General features: G+C 48.9%; 1 protein-coding gene across 4 annotated transcripts in view; it reads left to right on the top strand.

The window, feature by feature from the left end:
• VAV1 (vav guanine nucleotide exchange factor 1) overlaps positions 1 to 18,712 on the top strand; it is an 84,654-nt gene that overhangs the window by 47,956 nt on the left and 17,986 nt on the right. For 2 of the 4 annotated variants that reach the window (NM_005428.4, XM_005259642.2), the window contains exons 2-21: positions 39 to 155; positions 959 to 1,017; positions 1,128 to 1,196; positions 1,558 to 1,666; positions 1,756 to 1,851; positions 4,390 to 4,458; positions 4,640 to 4,743; positions 5,949 to 6,048; positions 7,413 to 7,508; positions 7,756 to 7,824; positions 7,959 to 8,045; positions 8,152 to 8,237; positions 9,123 to 9,255; positions 11,428 to 11,537; positions 12,521 to 12,622; positions 12,865 to 12,962; positions 13,048 to 13,070; positions 13,245 to 13,290; positions 15,769 to 15,905; positions 16,322 to 16,387. In NM_005428.4, coding sequence (NP_005419.2) covers positions 39 to 155; positions 959 to 1,017; positions 1,128 to 1,196; positions 1,558 to 1,666; positions 1,756 to 1,851; positions 4,390 to 4,458; positions 4,640 to 4,743; positions 5,949 to 6,048; positions 7,413 to 7,508; positions 7,756 to 7,824; positions 7,959 to 8,045; positions 8,152 to 8,237; positions 9,123 to 9,255; positions 11,428 to 11,537; positions 12,521 to 12,622; positions 12,865 to 12,962; positions 13,048 to 13,070; positions 13,245 to 13,290; positions 15,769 to 15,905; positions 16,322 to 16,387 — 1,776 coding nt within the window. The remainder of the gene's footprint in view (positions 1 to 38; positions 156 to 958; positions 1,018 to 1,127; positions 1,197 to 1,557; positions 1,667 to 1,755; positions 1,852 to 4,389; positions 4,459 to 4,639; positions 4,744 to 5,948; positions 6,049 to 7,412; positions 7,509 to 7,755; positions 7,825 to 7,958; positions 8,046 to 8,151; positions 8,238 to 9,122; positions 9,256 to 11,427; positions 11,538 to 12,520; positions 12,623 to 12,864; positions 12,963 to 13,047; positions 13,071 to 13,244; positions 13,291 to 15,768; positions 15,906 to 16,321; positions 16,388 to 18,712) is intronic. The other 2 variants (NM_001258206.2, NM_001258207.2) reach the window with 2 other exon arrangements.

The following is an 18,712-nucleotide window of genomic DNA, read 5'->3' on the forward strand; positions in this document are numbered from 1 at the left end:
TCGTACTGCCCCACCCTCATTTCTCTGTCTCCTCACAGTTCCTGTGCCTTAAGAACATTAGAACCTTCCTGTCCACCTGCTGTGAGAAGTTCGGCCTCAAGCGGAGCGAGCTCTTCGAAGCCTTTGACCTCTTCGATGTGCAGGATTTTGGCAAGGTGAGCTGCACACTTGAAGCCCAAAGACTGAGTTTCAGTTAATTTCTATTGACGTCTACACTGGGCAAGCTAAGGACTGTCAGGGGACAGGCAGACAAGCCAGACCAGGCCATATACAAGACGCAAATAGCACTGGCTTGGGATATGTGGAACTGGGTTTGAGTTCCTGCTCTGACACTTGCTGTGTGACCTTGGATACGTGGCTGTGCCTCTCTGAGCCCCTCGTTTCTCATCTGAAATATGGGAATATTATCATCCTGCCCTCTCTGAGTGGCTATGAGGATTAAATAGAAAGATAGAGGGCCGGGCGCAGTGGCTCATGCCTGTAATCCCAGCACTTTGGGAGGCTGAGGTGGGCAGATCACGAGGTCAGGAGATCGATTCCACCCTGGCTAACACAGTGAAACCCCGTCTCTACTAAAAATACAAAAAATTAGCTGGGTGTGGTGGCCGGCGCCTGTAGTCCCAGCTACTCCGGAGGCTGAGGCAGGAGAATCGCTTGAACCTGGGAGGTGGAGGTTGTAGTGAGCCGAGATGGTGCCACTGCACTCCAGCCTGGGTGACAGAGTGAGACTCCGTTAAAAAAAATACTAAAATATAAAAGAAAGAAAGAAAGATAGGAGCAAAGGGTGGGGCTCATTTGAGAGAACGATGGTATGGGGAATAGGAGGTAGAGAAAATCCTGAATTAGGCTTCCAAGAGGCATGGGATCTAGCGCCTCAGACAGAGCCTTGCAGCTGGAAGCTGTGTTCTGCCGTGGGGGTGTACAAGGGGCTCACTGAGTGGCCACTGCCCCGTCACAGGTCATCTACACCCTGTCTGCTCTGTCCTGGACCCCGATCGCCCAGAACAGGGGGATCATGTGAGTAACCACCTGGGCCTTGGGCCATTTAGCCCCAGTCCTCCCCCTCCCTGAAGCCCCACTTCTACCCAGCCCCCAGGCCCCTGGCTCACACCCTCCTGACCCCCCAGGCCCTTCCCCACCGAGGAGGAGAGTGTAGGTGATGAAGACATCTACAGTGGCCTGTCCGACCAGATCGAGTGAGTGCTCAGGCCTGTGGCCGCACAGCTCACTGGAGCACCGTCCTGGGGGTGGAGGGTGTGGGGGGACATGGCCTTGCCCTCCGGGAAATAAGGTCATACCCTGGTGTCTGGGGCACACAACCTTGCCTGAGAGTCTGGGGAGACACAGCCCTGCCCTGGGGTCTTGGGGGACATGGCACTGTCCTGGGGTCTTGGGGGACATGGCCCTGCCCTGGAGCTTGGAGGGACATGGCCTGCCCTTGGAGTCTGAGGTCCCACCCTTGGAGTCTTGGGGGGACAAAGCCCTGCGCTGGGGTCTGCGGGGACCCTGCTGTGATCTGGGAGAGGTCCAAGGGATCCCTGACCTCACAACCCACAGCGACACGGTGGAGGAGGATGAGGACCTGTATGACTGCGTGGAGAATGAGGAGGCGGAAGGCGACGAGATCTATGAGGACCTCATGCGCTCGGAGCCCGTGTCCATGCCGGTGCGTGACGTGGAGGGTCGGGCCTGGGGAGGGCGTGGGCGGGGGGCAGCCCCAGGCCCCCCAACACCGGCCTCTCCCCTCGCTCTCAGCCCAAGATGACAGAGTATGACAAGCGCTGCTGCTGCCTGCGGGAGATCCAGCAGACGGAGGAGAAGTACACTGACACGCTGGGCTCCATCCAGCAGGTGGGCGCCTCCCACCCAGCGCCTGCCGGGCGCATGCGCGGGAGCTGGGCCGGCAGGTGCACGTCCACCTGTCCGGCCGCTCTGGGCAGCTGAGGATTTCCTGCTCCCATCGCTTTTCCTTTCTGTGACTGTCTCCGTCTCTGAGTTTCTCTGACTTACATATGTATATATAAATATGAGTCTGACGTATATATATATTAAAAAATATATATAAAATATAGGACACTGCCTGCAGGAGCAGTCAAAAAACCAAAAACAAACAAAATAAATACAAAATCAAAAATATATAAATATATTAAACATATACATAAATAGAAAATATATAAATATATACAAAGTATATATAAAAATATAAACATATAATATGTATAAAATATAAACATGATATATGATATTTATAAGATATAAAATATATAGTTTTTCATATAGAGCTATATGTAAATAATATATACAATATATAAATATATAAAATATAAAATGTAGATATATTGATATAGGTATATATCTTTTTATATAGATATATATTTTTAATATACAAGATATATGTCCATATGTAGATATATATACCTTTATATATCTTATATACATAAAAGATATATATCTTTATCTATCTATCTTTTTTTTTTTTGAGACACGGTTTCTCTCTCATTGCCCAGGCTAGAGGGCAATGGCAAGCTCTCGCTTTACTACAATCTCTGCCTACCGGGCTCAAGCAATCCTTCTGCTTCAGCCTCCCAAGTAGCTGGGATTACAGGCATGCACCACCATGCTCGACTAATTTTTGTATTTTTAGTAGAGACGAGGTTTTGCCATGTTGGCCAGGCTGGTCTCGAACTCTGACCTCAAGTGATCTGCCCACCTCGGCCTCCAAAAGTGCTGGGATTGCAGGCATGAGCCACTGTGCCTGGCTTATATATCTATCTTTTAAAGATATATATCATTATTTAAAGATATATATATAAAGTATGTATAAGATATGTAATAGATACAAATATATATTTTATATATATTTTTTGTTATGTTAACCAGGCTGGTCTTAAACTCCTGGGCTCAAGCAATCCTCCTGTAATCCAAGCCCTTTGTGAGGCTGCACTGGGCCTCTTCCTCTTGTCTCTCTGTCTCTCTCTTTATCTCTCACTCTGTCTCTTTTTCCCTCTGGGTCTCCTCTCGCTACTTTCTTCCTCAGTGTGTCATTCTCTCCTTTGTAGCTCTTTATCCCAGGCTCAGTCTTTTTCTGTATCCTCACCTCTCCATTTCTTTTAAAAATAGCTTTATTGAGATTTCATTAATATACATGTAATCCACCCATTTAGAATATACAGTTCAATGGTTTTTGGCACACACAAGATTATGCAGTCATCATCACTGTCTAATTTTGGAATATTTTCATTTGTTTTGTTTTGGTTTTTTTTGTTTCTTTTTTTTTGATTTGTTTTGTTTTGAAATGTGGTCTCACTCTCCCATCCAGGCTGGAGTGCAGTGGCACGATCATAGTTCACTGCAGCCTCGAACTCCTGGGCTCAAGTGATCCCCCTGCCTTAACCTCCTGAGGAGCTGGGGCCACGGGTGCATGCCACCACACCCTGCTTAATTCTTTAATTTTTTTTGTAGATATGGGGTCTTGCTATGTTGCCCAGGCTGGTCTCCTACTCCTGGCCTCAAGTGATCCTCCTGCCTTGGCCTCCCAAAGTGTTGGGATTTTGGGTGTGAGCCACCACCCCGGCCTTAATTTTAGAACGTTTTCATCATCTCCCAAAGAAACCCCAAACTCTTTAGCTGTTCCCCTTCAATCTCTTATCTTCCCCCGGTCCATGGCAACCACGAGCTTACTCGCTGTCTCTGTGGATTGGCCTCTTCTGGACATTTCATATAAAGGGCATCACATACTATGTGGTTTATATGTGTCTGGCTTCTTTTGCTGAGCGTAGTGTTTTCAAGGTTCATCCACATTGTAGCCTGTGTCAGAGCTTCATTCCTTTTCATGGCTGAATAATATTCCATTGTATGGATGGACCACATTTTTTTTTTCTTTTTTGAGATAGAGTCTCACTCTGTCACCCAGGCTGGAGTGCAGTGGCGTGATCTCAGCTCACTGCAACCTCTGCCATCCAGGTTCAAGTGATTCTCCTGCTTCAGCCTCCTGAGTAGCTGGGATCACACGCATCTGCCACCGTGCCCAGCTTATTTTTGTAGTTTTAGTAGAGACGGGGTTTCACCATCTTGGCCAGGCTGGTCTTGAACTCCTGACCTCGTGATCCACCCACCTCAGGCTCCCAAAGTGCTGGGATTGCAGGCGTGAGCCACCGCACCTGGCCGGACCACATTTGAAACACCCATTTACCCATTGATAAGCATTTTGGTTGTTTCCGCTTTTGGGTTATTATGAATAATTTCACTGTGAACATTCTTGTACAAGTTTTTGTGTGGACGCGCTGCCTCTCTTTATCTCCCTCTCTCTGTCTCCTTCCCCTGTCTCTCTGAGACTGGTCTGGAGGAGGGAATCTTATCTTCCGTCATCTTTCTCTCCCTTCCCCGCAGCATTTCTTGAAGCCCCTGCAACGGTTCCTGAAACCTCAAGACATTGAGATCATCTTTATCAACATTGAGGTGAGCCGGCCGATCCCCAGCCCTCTTGGGTCTGTCTAGTGCGGATAACCTGCTGCCCCTACCTCTCCCTGGAGTACGGGGGTTGGGAGTTGAGCGGCATGGGGCGGGTGGATGACCCTTTCCTTCCTGGCCCCCTGAGCCCTGGGCTCTGGTCCCAGCCCTCACCCTTCCCTCCGAGTAGGACCTGCTTCGTGTTCATACTCACTTCCTAAAGGAGATGAAGGAAGCCCTGGGCACCCCTGGCGCAGCCAATCTCTACCAGGTCTTCATCAAATACAAGGAGAGGTGAGACCCAGCTGGCCAGACTGAAGCTCTGGGGTCACTCTGTCTTGCCTAGGCTGGGCATCTGAGAGACCTTACCCTCAGACACCACTGGACGGGGAGGACTTTTTGCTGTGTGTTCATGGGCGAGGGGCTGCCCATCTCTGGTTCAATTCCCAGCTCTGCTGTGTGGCACTGGGTAGTCACTTAACCTCTCTGTGCTTCTGCTTCCTCATCTGTACATCAGTGGGCCACAGGAATGTGCCTCCTAGGCTGGTGGTGAGGGTTGACTATACGGATGCACACAGGGCCTGGCACATAGTAGATGCTCAATAAGTATTTGTTAAATGAAGGAACATTGGCCAGGTGTGGTGGCTAATGCCTGTAATCCCAGCACTTTGGGAGGCTGAGGCGGGTGGATCATTTAAGGTGAGGAGTTCAAGACCAGGCTGGCCAATATGGTGAAACCCCGTCTCCATCGCCTAAAAATACAACTAAAATACAACTAAAAATACAAAAAACAATTAGCTGGGCGTGGTGGCATGCACCTGTAATCCCAGTTACTCAGGAGAATTGCTTGAACCCGGGAGGCGGAGGTTGCAGTGAGTCAAGATCATGCCACTGGACTCCAGCCTAGGCAACAGAGCAAGACTCTGTCTCAGAAATAAAAACAGGCCAGGCGTGGTGGCTCACGCCTGTAATTCCAGCACTTTGGGAGGCCGAGGAGGGCAGATCACTTGAGGTCAGGAGTTCGAGACCAGCCTGGCCAACATGGCAAAACCCCGTCTCTACTAAAAATACAAAAATTAGCCAGGCATGGTGGCAGGTGTCTGTAATCCCAGCTACTCGGGGGGCTGAAGCAGGAGAATCGCTTGAACCCGGGAGATGGAGGTTGCACTGAGCCCAGATCACACCACTGTACTCCAGCCTGGGAGACAAGCGTGAAACCCCGTCTCAAAAATAAATAAATTAATTAAATTAAATAAAAATAAATAAACATTGGGCAGAGACAATACCAGGTACTGTGGTGAAATTACTGTAGCATTAAATGAGATAATGCTACAATAGCCTCACATGGGAGATGCTATTGTTATGCCCATTTCACAGATGGAGAAACTGGGACTCAGGTTTCTTCTCCAGCGGGGAAGAGCAAGGCCAGGGCTGACGCCAGCCTCTGCCCGACCTTGATGCCAGTCACCTTTACCTGGTGGCCTGTCTTCTCCCTGTAGGTTCCTCGTCTATGGCCGCTACTGCAGCCAGGTGGAGTCAGCCAGCAAACACCTGGACCGTGTGGCCGCAGCCCGGGAGGACGTGCAGATGAAGCTGGAGGTGGGCGCCGGGCCACTTCTCGGGGGCCTCTCCCGCTCCTCCCCAGGCCCTGGGGGCAGCAGGGAGGACACTGAGTTGCAGATGGTCCACTTTCTGCTGCAGCCCAGCCAGAGATCCACCAAAGGACTAGGGAGGGAGGTACTAGCCAGCCAAGCAGAGGAAATGGAGAAGAACAGAAATGGGCTGGCCCTGGGTCTGGGCTGACCCCTGATATCAGGGTGAAGTCCTGACCCTGAACTGAGCTCTGATCTCACACTCAACCCCAGCCCTGGGCTGAGCCCTAGCACTGATTGTACCCCAAGTCGGGCTGAGCTCCCACTTCTCACTGAACCCCAATTCCAACCAACCCCTGATCCCAGGCTGAACTTGATCTTGAACTGAACTTCAACCTGGATCTGTCTGGTGGAAACACAGACAGGGCAGGGGTGGTGAGGACGGGGGCTCTCCAGATCTGTCCCCCTCCCCATCTCCAGCCCCCCTCAGCAGGCAGAATACTGGACCTCTATCCCAGGCAGCATTTGCCACATTCCAGTGGGTTTGTTTGTTTGTTTGTTTTGTTTTGTTTTGTTTTTTTGAGACAGGGTCTCATTCTGTCCCCCAAGCTGGAGTGTAGTGGCATGATCATAGCTCACCACAGCCTCGACCTCCTGGACTCAAGCAATCCTCCCAACTCCTACCTTGGCCTCCTGAGTAGCTGGGACTACAGATGCATGCCACCATTCCTGGCTAATTTTTGTGTTTTTTGCAGAGATGGGGTTTCACCATGTTATCCAGGGTGGTCTCAAACTCCTGGGCTCAAGCGACTCACCCACTCAGCCTCTCAAAGAGCTAGGATTACAGGCCTGAGCAATCGTGCCCAGCCTCTTCCCATTGCTTTTTTGTTTGTTTGTTTGTCTTTGTTTTTTGAGATGGAGTCTCCCTCTGTCACCCAGGTTGGAGTGAAGTGGTGTGATCTCAGCTCAATGCCATCTCTGCCTCCCGGGTTCAAGCAATTCTCCTGCCTCAGTCTCCTGAGTAGCTGGGATTGCAGGAGTCTGCCACCACGCCAGCTATTTTTTTTTTTTTCATAGCAGAGACGGGGTTTCCCCGTGTTGGCCAGGCTGGTCTTGAACTCCTGACCTCAAGTGATCCTCCCGCCTCGGCCTCCCAAAGTTCCTTCCAGTGGTTCTCAAGCTGCCCCCACCTCATGGAGTCCTTTTCCTGTTTCCTTGGGGGCAGATATGATGCTTTGGCCTCTAGAAAAATTCCCACAGCTCTGGGGTGGAGAGCTGCTCACGTATTTATTCAAATCTATCTGCACCCACCCTGCAACTGGCTGTTTCTGGGACCTGCCTCAGTTTCCCCATTGTTCTCTGATTCCCCAGGAATGTTCTCAGAGAGCCAACAACGGGAGGTTCACCCTGCGGGACCTGCTGATGGTGCCTATGCAGCGAGTTCTCAAATATCACCTCCTTCTCCAGGTGCCAGGCACATCTCTAGGCGTGGGCTCCACGTACCTACTCTCCTGTGTCTATAAAAGTGGGGACGGGGCTGGCTTCTGGGGGTTGGGTCTCTAGGACGCTCGGGGATGGGTCACTGGGGTCATGTCTCAGCCTCCAGGGTCAGCAGTACGATGGAGGAGCTGGTGAGCTAGCATTGTTTGGAAGGCCCTCCCCGCAGGGAGAAGGGGAGGGGCCCAGGTGACGTCTGACGTCTTGGTTCTCTCAGGAGCTGGTGAAACACACGCAGGAGGCGATGGAGAAGGAGAACCTGCGGCTGGCCCTGGATGCCATGAGGGTGAGTGGGTGTAGGGTGCTGGTGACTCACCTGCTGCAGACACCCTCCTGGTAGGGGCTGATCCTCTAGCCGGGATTAGGTAGGAGCCTGGGTCGGCTGTTGGGGGGCCAGGTTCACCCCTGCCCCCTCCCCAGGACCTGGCTCAGTGCGTGAACGAGGTCAAGCGAGACAACGAGACACTGCGACAGATCACCAATTTCCAGCTGTCCATTGAGAACCTGGTGAGGCGGTGGAGCCGGGTGGGCCAGGGGTGTGGCCACGTGGGGAGAGTGTGTGTCTGGCTCCTTTCTTGGGAGACCCTTGCTAGACCCCCTGCCTACTGCATAGGACCAGTCTCTGGCTCACTATGGCCGGCCCAAGATCGACGGGGAACTCAAGATCACCTCGGTGGAACGGCGCTCCAAGATGGACAGGTGGGTGGAGTCAACATGGATCTGGGATGGAGCCTGGGCAAAGGGGTGGGACCAGGCTCCTAGATGGGCAGGTGGGTGGAGTCAACACAGATCTGGGTGGAGCCTGGGCAGGGGCGGGGCCGGGCTTCTAGATGGACAGGTGGGTGGAGTCGACATAGATCTGGAGCAGAGCCTGGGCAGGGGCAGAGCCAGGCTTCTAGATAGGCAGATGGGTGGAGTCAACACAGATCTGGGAGGAGCCTGGGCAGGGATGGTGCCAGGCTCCTAGATGAGCAGGTGGGTGGAGTCAACACAGATCTGGGTGGAGCCTGGGCAAGGTGGGGGCCAGGCTCCTAGATGGGTAGGTGAGTGGAGCAAACCATATCTGTGGTGGAGCCTGGGTAGGGATGGGGCCAGGTTTCTAGATAGGCAGTTGGGTGGAGTCAACATAGGTCTGGGGAAGAGCCTGGATAGGGGCGTGGCCAGGCTCCTAGATGGACAGGTGGGTGGAGCCAACACAGATCTGGGGTGGAGCCTGGGTAGGGGTGGGGCCAGGTTCTTATGTAGACTTGTAGGTGGAATTAAGATGAATTTGGGGAGGGACCTGAGTGGGGGTGAGGCAAGATTTCTAGACAGACAGGTGGTAGACCCATCCAGAGAAGGCGGTGGAGCCTTGATGGACAGGCAGGACAGGGCCAGCGAGGGGTATGGGTGGAGCGAAGACTGACAGGCAGTAGGGCCAATGCGGATCACGTGGGTGAAGTCAGGATGGACAGGTGGGCATGGCCAAGTTGGCCAAGGAGGAGGAGAAGGGCAGGGTGGGACCAGGATGTGGAGGAACTGGTCAGAGGGCTGATGGGGACAGTTGGGAAGAGCCAGACAGGAATGCGTTATCCATCCTTCCAGGTATGCCTTCCTGCTCGACAAAGCTCTACTCATCTGTAAGCGCAGGGGAGACTCCTATGACCTCAAGGACTTTGTAAACCTGCACAGCTTCCAGGTTCGGGATGACTCTTCAGGAGACCGAGACAACAAGAAGGTGGGGCTTTGACGCCGGAACTATGGGGTCCTCCACGCAGTCGGCAGCTTAGCCCTCTCCACTTGGGCATGTGCCTGTTTGCCAGACTACATCTACATGGAAGTGTGTGTTAATCCACTCAACAGGTGTTTTTTGTTTGTTTGTTTTGTTCTGTTTTTTAAGATGGAGTCTCGCTCTGTCGCCAGGCCGGAGTGCAGTGGCACAATCTCGGCTCACCGCAACCTCCGCCTCCTGGGTTCAAGCGATTCTCCTGGCTCAGTCTCCCGAGTAGCTGGGACTACAGGCACACACCACCACGCCCAGCTAATCTTTGTAGTTTTGGTAGAGACAGGGTTTCACCATGTTGGCCAGGATGGTCTCGATCTCTTGACCCCGTGATCCACCTGCCTCGGCCTCCCAAAGTGCTGGGATTATAAGCGTGAGCCCACTCAACAGTTTTTAAATTGAGCACCTACTATATCCAGGGCACTCTTCTAGGCACTAGGACTAAAATGGAAAGCAAAACAGAATTTTCATTTTGTTTGTTTGTTGGTTTGTTTTTGAGACAGTCTCACTCTGTTGTTCAGGCTGGAATGCAGTGGCACGGTCTTGGCTCACTGCAACCTCTGGCTCCCAGGTTCAAGCAATTCTCCTGCCTCAGCCTCCCGAGTAGCTGGGATTACGGGCACCCACCACCATGCCCAGCTAAATTTTGTATTTTTAGTAGAGACGAGGTTTCACCATGTTGGCCAGGCTGGTCTCAAATTCCTGACCTCAAGTGACCTGCCCATCTTGGCCTCCCAAAGTGCTGAGATTACAAGCGTGAGCCACTGTGCCCAGCTTATTTTATTTCTTGTATGGTACTTGCGTTCTTATGGGATGCTTTCTACAAAGAAAATAAAGTAGGTGGCTGGGTGCAGTGGCTCATGCCTGTAATCCCAGTACTTTGGGAGGCCGAGGTGGGAGAATTGCTTGAGCCCAGGAGTTTGAGATCAGCCTGGGCAACATAGGGAGATCCCCGTCTCTACAAAACATAAAAAAAAATTTAGCTGGGCTTGGTGGCACATGCCTGTAGCCCTAGCTACATGGGAGGCTGAGGTGGGAGGATCGCCTGTGGCTAGGAGTTGGAGGCTGCAGAGAGCTATGATTGCACTACAGCTAGGACCACAGAGTGAGATCCTGTCTCTATTAAAAAATAAATGAATGAAACAGGAGATGTGGCTGTGGTAGGTGAGGGTGGGAGGGGGAGCTATCTTACCTCCATTGTTCAGGGACATTCTCTGTGGAAGTGACATTTAAGCTGAGACCCCTCTCCCTCTCGGCTCTTCCTTACTTCCTTCTGCTTTTTCTCCTGTGAACTCTTCCGTTCGCTTCAGTTTTTGCCCTGGAGTTCCCCCTGTGCTCTGGTCTGTGGCTTCTCTATTTCTTTTTTTGAGACGGAGCCTCGCTCTGTCACCAGGCTGGAGTGCAGAGGCATGATCTCGGCTCACTGCAACCTCCGCCTCCTGAGTTCAAGAGATTCTCCTACCTCAGCCTCCTGAGTAGCTGGGATTACAGGTGCCCGCCACCACGCCCAGCTAATTTTTTTGTATTTTTAGTAGAGACGGAGTTTCACCACATTGGTCAGGCTGGTCTCAAACTCCTGACCTCGTGATCCGCCCACCTCAGCCTCCCAAAATGCTGGGATTACAGGTGTAAGCCACCGCGCCCGGCTGGCTTCTCTATTTCTCAACCTGTGTCTCCCTCGAGGAGCCAGTTGCTGTCTTGTAACTGCCTGCTTACAGCATCCGTCTCTCCTACCAGGCTGGAGCTCTGGGGACCACATCCTATTCACTGCTCTGTCCCCAGCTCCTAGCAGTGTCTGTTTCTCAGCAGGTGCTGCACCAATGCTTTGTTGAACAGAAAAATCGATGATGAGTGACATGCTGTGTCTGGTGTGTGCTTCTGCAAAGGGGAGTGTGTGTGTGTGTGTGTGTGTGTGTGCATGTGCACGCCTGCGTATGTGGTTTTGGGTTTATGGTTGTGTATTTGGATATCCTAGAAAGCCCTTTTACAAGGATATCCATGCATGGTGCTAGGGGCATAGAGACTGTCATGGGCTTGCCTGTTCCCTACAGAGGGAGGGGTGGGTGGGTGTGTGCTCCCACCCTCTGCGGGGGCAGTGCCTTCAGTCTGAGCTCTGCTTCCCTGCAGTGGAGCCACATGTTCCTCCTGATCGAGGACCAAGGTGCCCAGGGCTATGAGCTGTTCTTCAAGACAAGAGAATTGAAGAAGAAGTGGATGGAGCAGTTTGAGATGGCCATGTGAGTCCCCGTCTTCCTCCCTCTTTCTGTCCACAGAGGGGCAGGGGCTGGGAAGGAGGAACGTGATCTAGTCCCTACTCTGTCCTGACATGCCATGGGACCACTCTGAACCACAGTCTCTTCATTTGGGAAATAAGAGGGACAGGCCCAAGGCTGTCTTCATCCTTGGAATGCAGGGGTTGTGTGCAAGCTTCAGTTACCAGCCCAGACTCTTCTCCTTTCCTCCTCCTCTTTCTTGTTCTCCTCTCCTCTTCCTTCTCCTCCTTCTGGTTTCCTTCCTCCTCCTCCTCCTCTTTCTCCTTCTCCTTTCCTCCTCCTCTTTCCTCCTCCTCCCCTTCCTCTTCTTCTTCCTCCTCCTCTCCTTCCTCCCCTTCCTCCTCCTCGCCCTCCTCTTCCTCTTCCTCCTATTCCTCCTCCACCTCTTCTTCCTCCTCCTCCCTTTCCTCCCCTTCTTCCTCCTCCTCCTCCTCTTCCTCCTCTTCTTTCTCTTCCTCCTCCCTTTCCTCCTCTTCCTCTTCTTCCTTTTCCTCCTCCTCCTTCTTCTTCCCCTCTTCCTCCTCTTCCACTTTTGTCTTCTCTTTCTCCTTTTTATGTGAGGCAAAATTCCAACAACAAAAATCTAACAATTTCGAAGTGTATGATCGCATGGCATTTTGTACACTAACAGCATTGTGCAACCATCACCTCTATCCAGTTTCAAAACCTTTTCATCAGCCCAAAGGAGACCTCATACCCATTAAGCATTCACTCCCAATTCCCCGCTCTCGCAGCCCCTGGAAACTCCTAGCCTGCTTTCTCTTTCTCCCAATGTGCATGGCAGCACGATTCAGTGTGGCCAAAGGGTGAAAACGACCCAAAAGCCAATCAATGAATGAGTGGACACGCAAAACGTGGTCTGTTCATACCATGGAATAGTATTCAGCCATAAAAAGGAATAAAATACTGACCTTCTTTTTTTTTTTTTTTTAATTTTCCCCTGCCAGCTCCAACATCTATCCGGAGAATGCCACCGCCAACGGGCATGACTTCCAGATGTTCTCCTTTGAGGAGACCACATCCTGCAAGGCCTGTCAGATGCTGCTTAGGTGAGAATCTGGGAGGAGGGTCCTGCATACCGGACTTGGTCATCAGTTCCTTGCTAGAGAAGATGGCCTAGTAATTGGTTCCCTAAATTGGGAGATGGGGGAGTCCCTACTTTGATCTTCTGCTTCTCCGTCACTCTCCTGATCTAAAGAGAACCCAAGGGGTCCCTTTATGTTTTTAGCAGAATATTTGGCCCTGTCTGTAAAGGTCACTCGCTCTTCTTTATGTGTTCCCTGCATCTCAGAGGTACCTTCTATCAGGGCTACCGCTGCCATCGGTGCCGGGCATCTGCACACAAGGAGTGTCTGGGGAGGGTCCCTCCATGTGGCCGACATGGGCAAGGTACGAGTGGGAGGGAGGCTGGGAGGTGAGCTTGGTTCTCTTTGGAGGATTTCCCGTTCTCACCATTTCCTTTACCCTCCCGTAGATTTCCCAGGAACTATGAAGAAGGTAAGACTTTCCCGTGGTCCTTCCTGTGTACCACAAATAATGGGCAACAGCGCGGGGAGGACCCAGGACATCCTGGAACTGGGCAGGATCCTTTGTGGGGTGAGGAGAGTAAGGGGGCCTACAAGCCCCCAGGCTGGGCATAGGTAGACAGGCTTTCTTTGTTTCTCCTTCCAGGACAAACTACATCGCAGGGCTCAGGACAAAAAGAGGAATGAGCTGGGTGAGTTGGCAGGGGTTGCTGTGTGGGGGCAGGAGGAAAATTCATCTCTATTGATGTTGACCCAGGGACAGATCTCCATAATCATATTAACAGCCACATTGGGCCGGGTGCAATAGCTCACACCTGTAATCCCAACAATTTGGGAGGCCAAGGCGGGAGGATCGCTTGAAGTCAGGTGCACACCACCACGCCTAGCTAATTTTTTTTTTTTAAATAGAGATGAGGTCTTGCTACGTTGCCCAGCCATACTGTATAAATTAAATCATACAGTATGTGCTTATTTTAATTAATTAATTTATTTATTTCTGGAGATGGAGTCTTGCTGTGTCGCCCAGGCTGGAGTGCAGTGGTGTGATCTTGGCTCACTACAACCTCCACCTCCCAAGTTCAAGCGATTCTCCTGCCTCAGCCTCCCAAGTAGCTGGGATTATAGGCACATGTCACCACGCTCGGCTAATTTTTGTATTTTTAGTAAAGACGGGGTTTCACCATGTTGGGCAGGCTGGTCTCGAACTCTTGACCTCAGGTGATCTGCCTGCTCAGCCTCCCAAAGTGCTGGGATTACAAGCGTGAGCCACTGTGCCCAGCCTTAATTTTAAAAAATTTAAAAATATATGTATTTTATTAAATATATAATAATTTATTATTTAATAATATATTAATATTAATTAATATAATATAGTAATAATATATTATAATAATATATAAAATATATATTAATATATATTTATTAAAAATATATTATATGTATATATAATATATCTTTTTTTTATTTTTAGAGGCAGGGTCTTGCTCTGTATCCCAGGCTGGAGTGCAGAGGCAGGAGTGTTCCACTTATATGCCATTTATATGACATATAAATATATAACATAAGTCAGGTGTGGTGGTTCATGTCTGTGATCCCAGCACTTTGAGAGGCCAAGGCCAGGAGTTTGAGACAAGCGTGGGCAACAGAACGAGACCCTGTGTCTACAAAAACATTTTTAAAAATTAGCGGGGTTCTTGCTTGAGCCCAGGAGTTCAAGGTTGCAGTGAGCCATGATCACGCCACTGCACGCCAACCTGGGCAACAGAGCAAGATCCTGTTTCAAAAAAATAAAAAAATAAATATATGAAATCTATGAATGGGTATGTTTTCTTCTTATTATTACTTACTATGTAATTAGCAATAGTCAGTCAGCTTTCTTAGCAAGAGTCAAAATTAGAAACAACCCGTGTCCTTTGTACAATAGAATATATATATGTGTATATATATATACATACACACACACACACACACACACACACACACACACGTATTTTATTGAGAGAGGAAATACATACTTTAAGGTATGTAAAAATCAATAAATCTTAAGTATATGACTTAATACATTTTTATCCATGCAACCAACAATCAAATAAAAATGTAGAACATTTCCATCCCTCCAGAACTGCACTGTGTAATATAAATTAATTAAAATGAAATCACCTTAAAAATTTTTTTGCTCACGTTAGCCTTGAAGTTCTCAATAATGGCCTGTGGCTAGTTGCTACCATATTGGACATATCCATCACCACAGAAAGCTTTGTCAGAAAGCACTGCTACTCACCTATCTCCCATAGGGAACCACTGTCTGACCTCTATCACCATAGATTAATTTTGCCTGCTCTTGAGTTTTCTATAAATAAAATCATACAGTACATGCTTATTTCATCTGGTTTCTTTTATCTGACGTAATGACGGTGAGATGCATTGATGTGATCGCCTGTAGCAATAGCTTGTTCCTTTTCATTGTTGTATAGTATTCCATTATGTGATGATATCACAATTTGTTTATTGATTGATCAACCTATTGAGGACATTTGGTTGGTTGCCAGTTTTTGGATATTGTGTATAAAGCTGCAACTTTTGAAGGACTTTTTTTTTGTTTTTTGTTTTTTTGTTTAGTTTTGTTTTGAGACAGAGTCTCACTCCATCGCCCAGGCTGGAGTGCAGTGGCATGATCTCAGCTCACTGAAACCTCTGCCTCCTGGGAGTTCAAGTGATTCTCCTGCCTCAGCCTCCCAAGTAGCTGGGATTACAGGTGCCCACCACCACACCCAGCTAATTTCTGTAGTTTTAGTAGAGATGGGGTTTCACCATGTTGGCCAGTCTGGTCTCAAACTCCTGACCTCAGGTGATCTTCCTGCCTCGGCCTCCCAAAGTGCTGGGATTACAGACATGAGCCACCGTGCCCAGCCAGGACACATGTTTTCATTTCTCTTGGGTTGCTGGGTTACAGAGTAGATACAATGTTTAGCTTCAGTAGATATTGCCAAATAGTTTTACAAAGAGTATCCCCACCAGCAATGAGTGAAAATTCCAGTTTCTCCACGTCCTTGTCAACACTTAGTATTGCCAGTCTAAAAAGAAAAATTTTAGCCATTCTCGTGGGTGGCAAGATTCAGGGTTGAAAGTTGACTGCCAACCACCCTGTACTCCTGTACCCTGTCCTCCAGGTCTGCCCAAGATGGAGGTGTTTCAGGAATACTACGGGCTTCCTCCACCCCCTGGAGCCATTGGACCCTTTCTACGGCTCAACCCTGGAGACATTGTGGAGCTCACGAAGGCTGAGGCTGAACAGAACTGGTGGGAGGTACAGGCTGGGGCCACAAGAGTGATGGGGTGGGACCCAAGTGTAGGGTTATGGATTCATGTGGTCTCAGGGAGTTGGGTCATAGTTCCACCATGCTCTGGAGGTGATGCCTGGGGAGTGGGGTAGGTAGACTGAGACTTCTGGGCATGGCTTTTCTGAGCGGGCCATCTTCCCAGGAAGCTAATACTCATTATCACCTCTCTGGGCTCTCCAGGCCATCCTGAGATAGATGGACAAGCAGAGTGACCATTGAGCAGAGAGATGGACACACACACACACACACACACACACACACACACACACACACACACGAGTGATGGGGCAGGATCCACGTGTAGGGTTATGGGTTTAGATGGCAGGTGGGGTTATGGATCCTATAACCTCTCTGTTCCTGTTTTTGTCTCCTGGGTGTTTAGGGCAGAAATACATCTACTAATGAAATTGGCTGGTTTCCTTGTAACAGGGTGAAGCCCTATGTCCATGTGAGTGCCTCAAGTCTGAATGGAATAAGGGCAAGGGGTCCAGGGCGGGTCCTGGGAGGATGGACAGACTTGGAAAGACACCCCCGGAGTTGGGGAGGGGGCTGCCCATCATGGCAGGTCTTTCTCTAACTCAAGGCTTCACCCACCCCACCAACTGAGCCCAGAGAGGGGCCACCCTGGAAACAATGATTGATCTTTTTCTCCTTGATCATTTTTGTGTAAAGGTCCTTTCCTTCCTACATGGGTATGGTAGGGAGGAAGGAGCAGGGACCTAGAAGGTGGGCCTGCCCCTTGCTTCCTTCTGAGACACCAAATTGAGTTCTGTGGGAGCACTGTGGCCTCCATTGCCTGTGTCCTTGCCCTGCTCCTGGTGGACACACCTGTCCACTCCAGCCTCTGCTGTTCTTCCAGTGTTCTCTGCTTGATGGACCCCTCGCTCTTCATGATGACTTCAGATCTCTCCCTCTCTCCCCAACCTCAGACACCCCCTACCTCATTCACAGCAAATGACCCCACTGTACACTTCACAGCCTGCAGAGGGAAATTCTCTCCAGTGCTGGTTTTAACTTTATATTATTTCAGACTTCTAGCAAAGCTATGAGAATAATGCAAAGAGCTCCTGTGTAGCCTTTACCCAGTTTCATCAGTTCTGTTAATGTTTTGTTCCATTTGCTCTGTCATTTCCTCTCTCTACCCACACATAGTATTTATTTTTCCTGGAAGAGTTAAAAGTGAGTTTGCAGACGACGTTCCCCTTTACCCCTAAATACTTCTTAAGAGCAAGAGCCTTCTCATGCATAACCAGAGCAAGATATTAAAAGACACAAAATTCAACATTGACATTATACTATTATTTAATTCATAGTCTGTATTTAAATGTTGTCAATTTCCCCAAAAATTTTATCAAAAATTTTTTTGTTCCTATGGTTTCTCCACTGTCAAGTTACAATAGGAATTTCCAACCCCATCATTCTTTCCAAATTTATTAGCTGGTGTTCTGCTGCAAGAAAGAGCTGTCCTTTCTGCCCTCATCTGTCTGTCTGTCTGTCTATCTATCTATCTATCTATCTATCTATCTATCTATCCATGCATCCATCTTTTATCTATATATCATCTATCTATTTACCTATCATCTATTTGCCTATCACCTATCTACCCATCTATTATCTATCTATATCATCATCATCATCATCAATCTTTTATCTATTTACCTATCATCTATCCATCTATTCGTCATCTACATATTATCTATCTATCTATCTATCTATCTATCTATCTATCTATATGTCTATCTATCCATGTACCTACCCATCAATCCATCCATTCATCAATCAGTTCTTCTATCCATCCATCCATCCATCCATCCATCCATCCATCCATCCATCCATCTATCATCTATCTACTTATCAATACATTCATGATCTATTCATCCACCTATCATTTATCTATGTATCATCTGTCTATGTATTATCTATCATCTATCTATTCACCGATCATCTCTCTGCCTATTTTTCACCTACCGATCTAACCATCTATCATCTGTCTATTACCTATTTATTATCATTTCTCTCTCATCTATTCATTTATCATTTATCCATCACCTGTCTGTTTATCATCTATCATCTTTCCATCTATCTATTACCTGTTTATCCATCATCCATCTATTCTATCTATCTATCTCTTAATTTTTTGTTTTAGAGAGAGGGTCTCATTCTGTCACCTAGGCTGGAGTGCAATGGTGTGATTTAACTCACTGCAGCCTTGACCTCCTGGGCTCAAGCAATCCTCCCACCTCACCCTCCTGAGTAGCTGGGACCACAGATGCAAGCCATTATGCTCAGCTTTATTTATTTATTTATTTATTTATTTAAGATGGAGTTTCACTCTTGTTTCCCAGGCTGGAGTGCAGTGGGGTGATCTCGGCTCATTGCAACCTCCGCCTTCCGGTTTCAAGCGATTCTCCTGCCTTAGCCTCCTGAGTAGCTAGGATTACAGGCGCCTGCCACCACATCTGGCTAATTTTTGTATTTTTAGTAGAGATGGAGTTTCATCATGTTGGTCAGGCTGGTCTCGAACTCCTGACCTTGTGATCCGCCAGCTTCAGCCTCCCAAAGTGTTGGGATTACAGGTGTGAGCCACTGCACCCAGCCGCAGCTGTTTTTTTGTGTGTGATTTTTTTTTTTTTTAGAGATAGGGTCTCACTATGTTGTCCAGGCTGGTCTTGAACTCCTGGGCTCAAGCAATCCTCTCATAGAACATCCTTCTCTTTTTTCTTTTAAAAAATTGAGGTGAAATTTGCACAGCATAAAACTGACCGTTACAATG

Source organism: Homo sapiens, chromosome 19, assembly GCF_000001405.40.
Source record: "Homo sapiens chromosome 19, GRCh38.p14 Primary Assembly".
NCBI lineage: Eukaryota > Metazoa > Chordata > Mammalia > Primates > Hominidae > Homo > Homo sapiens.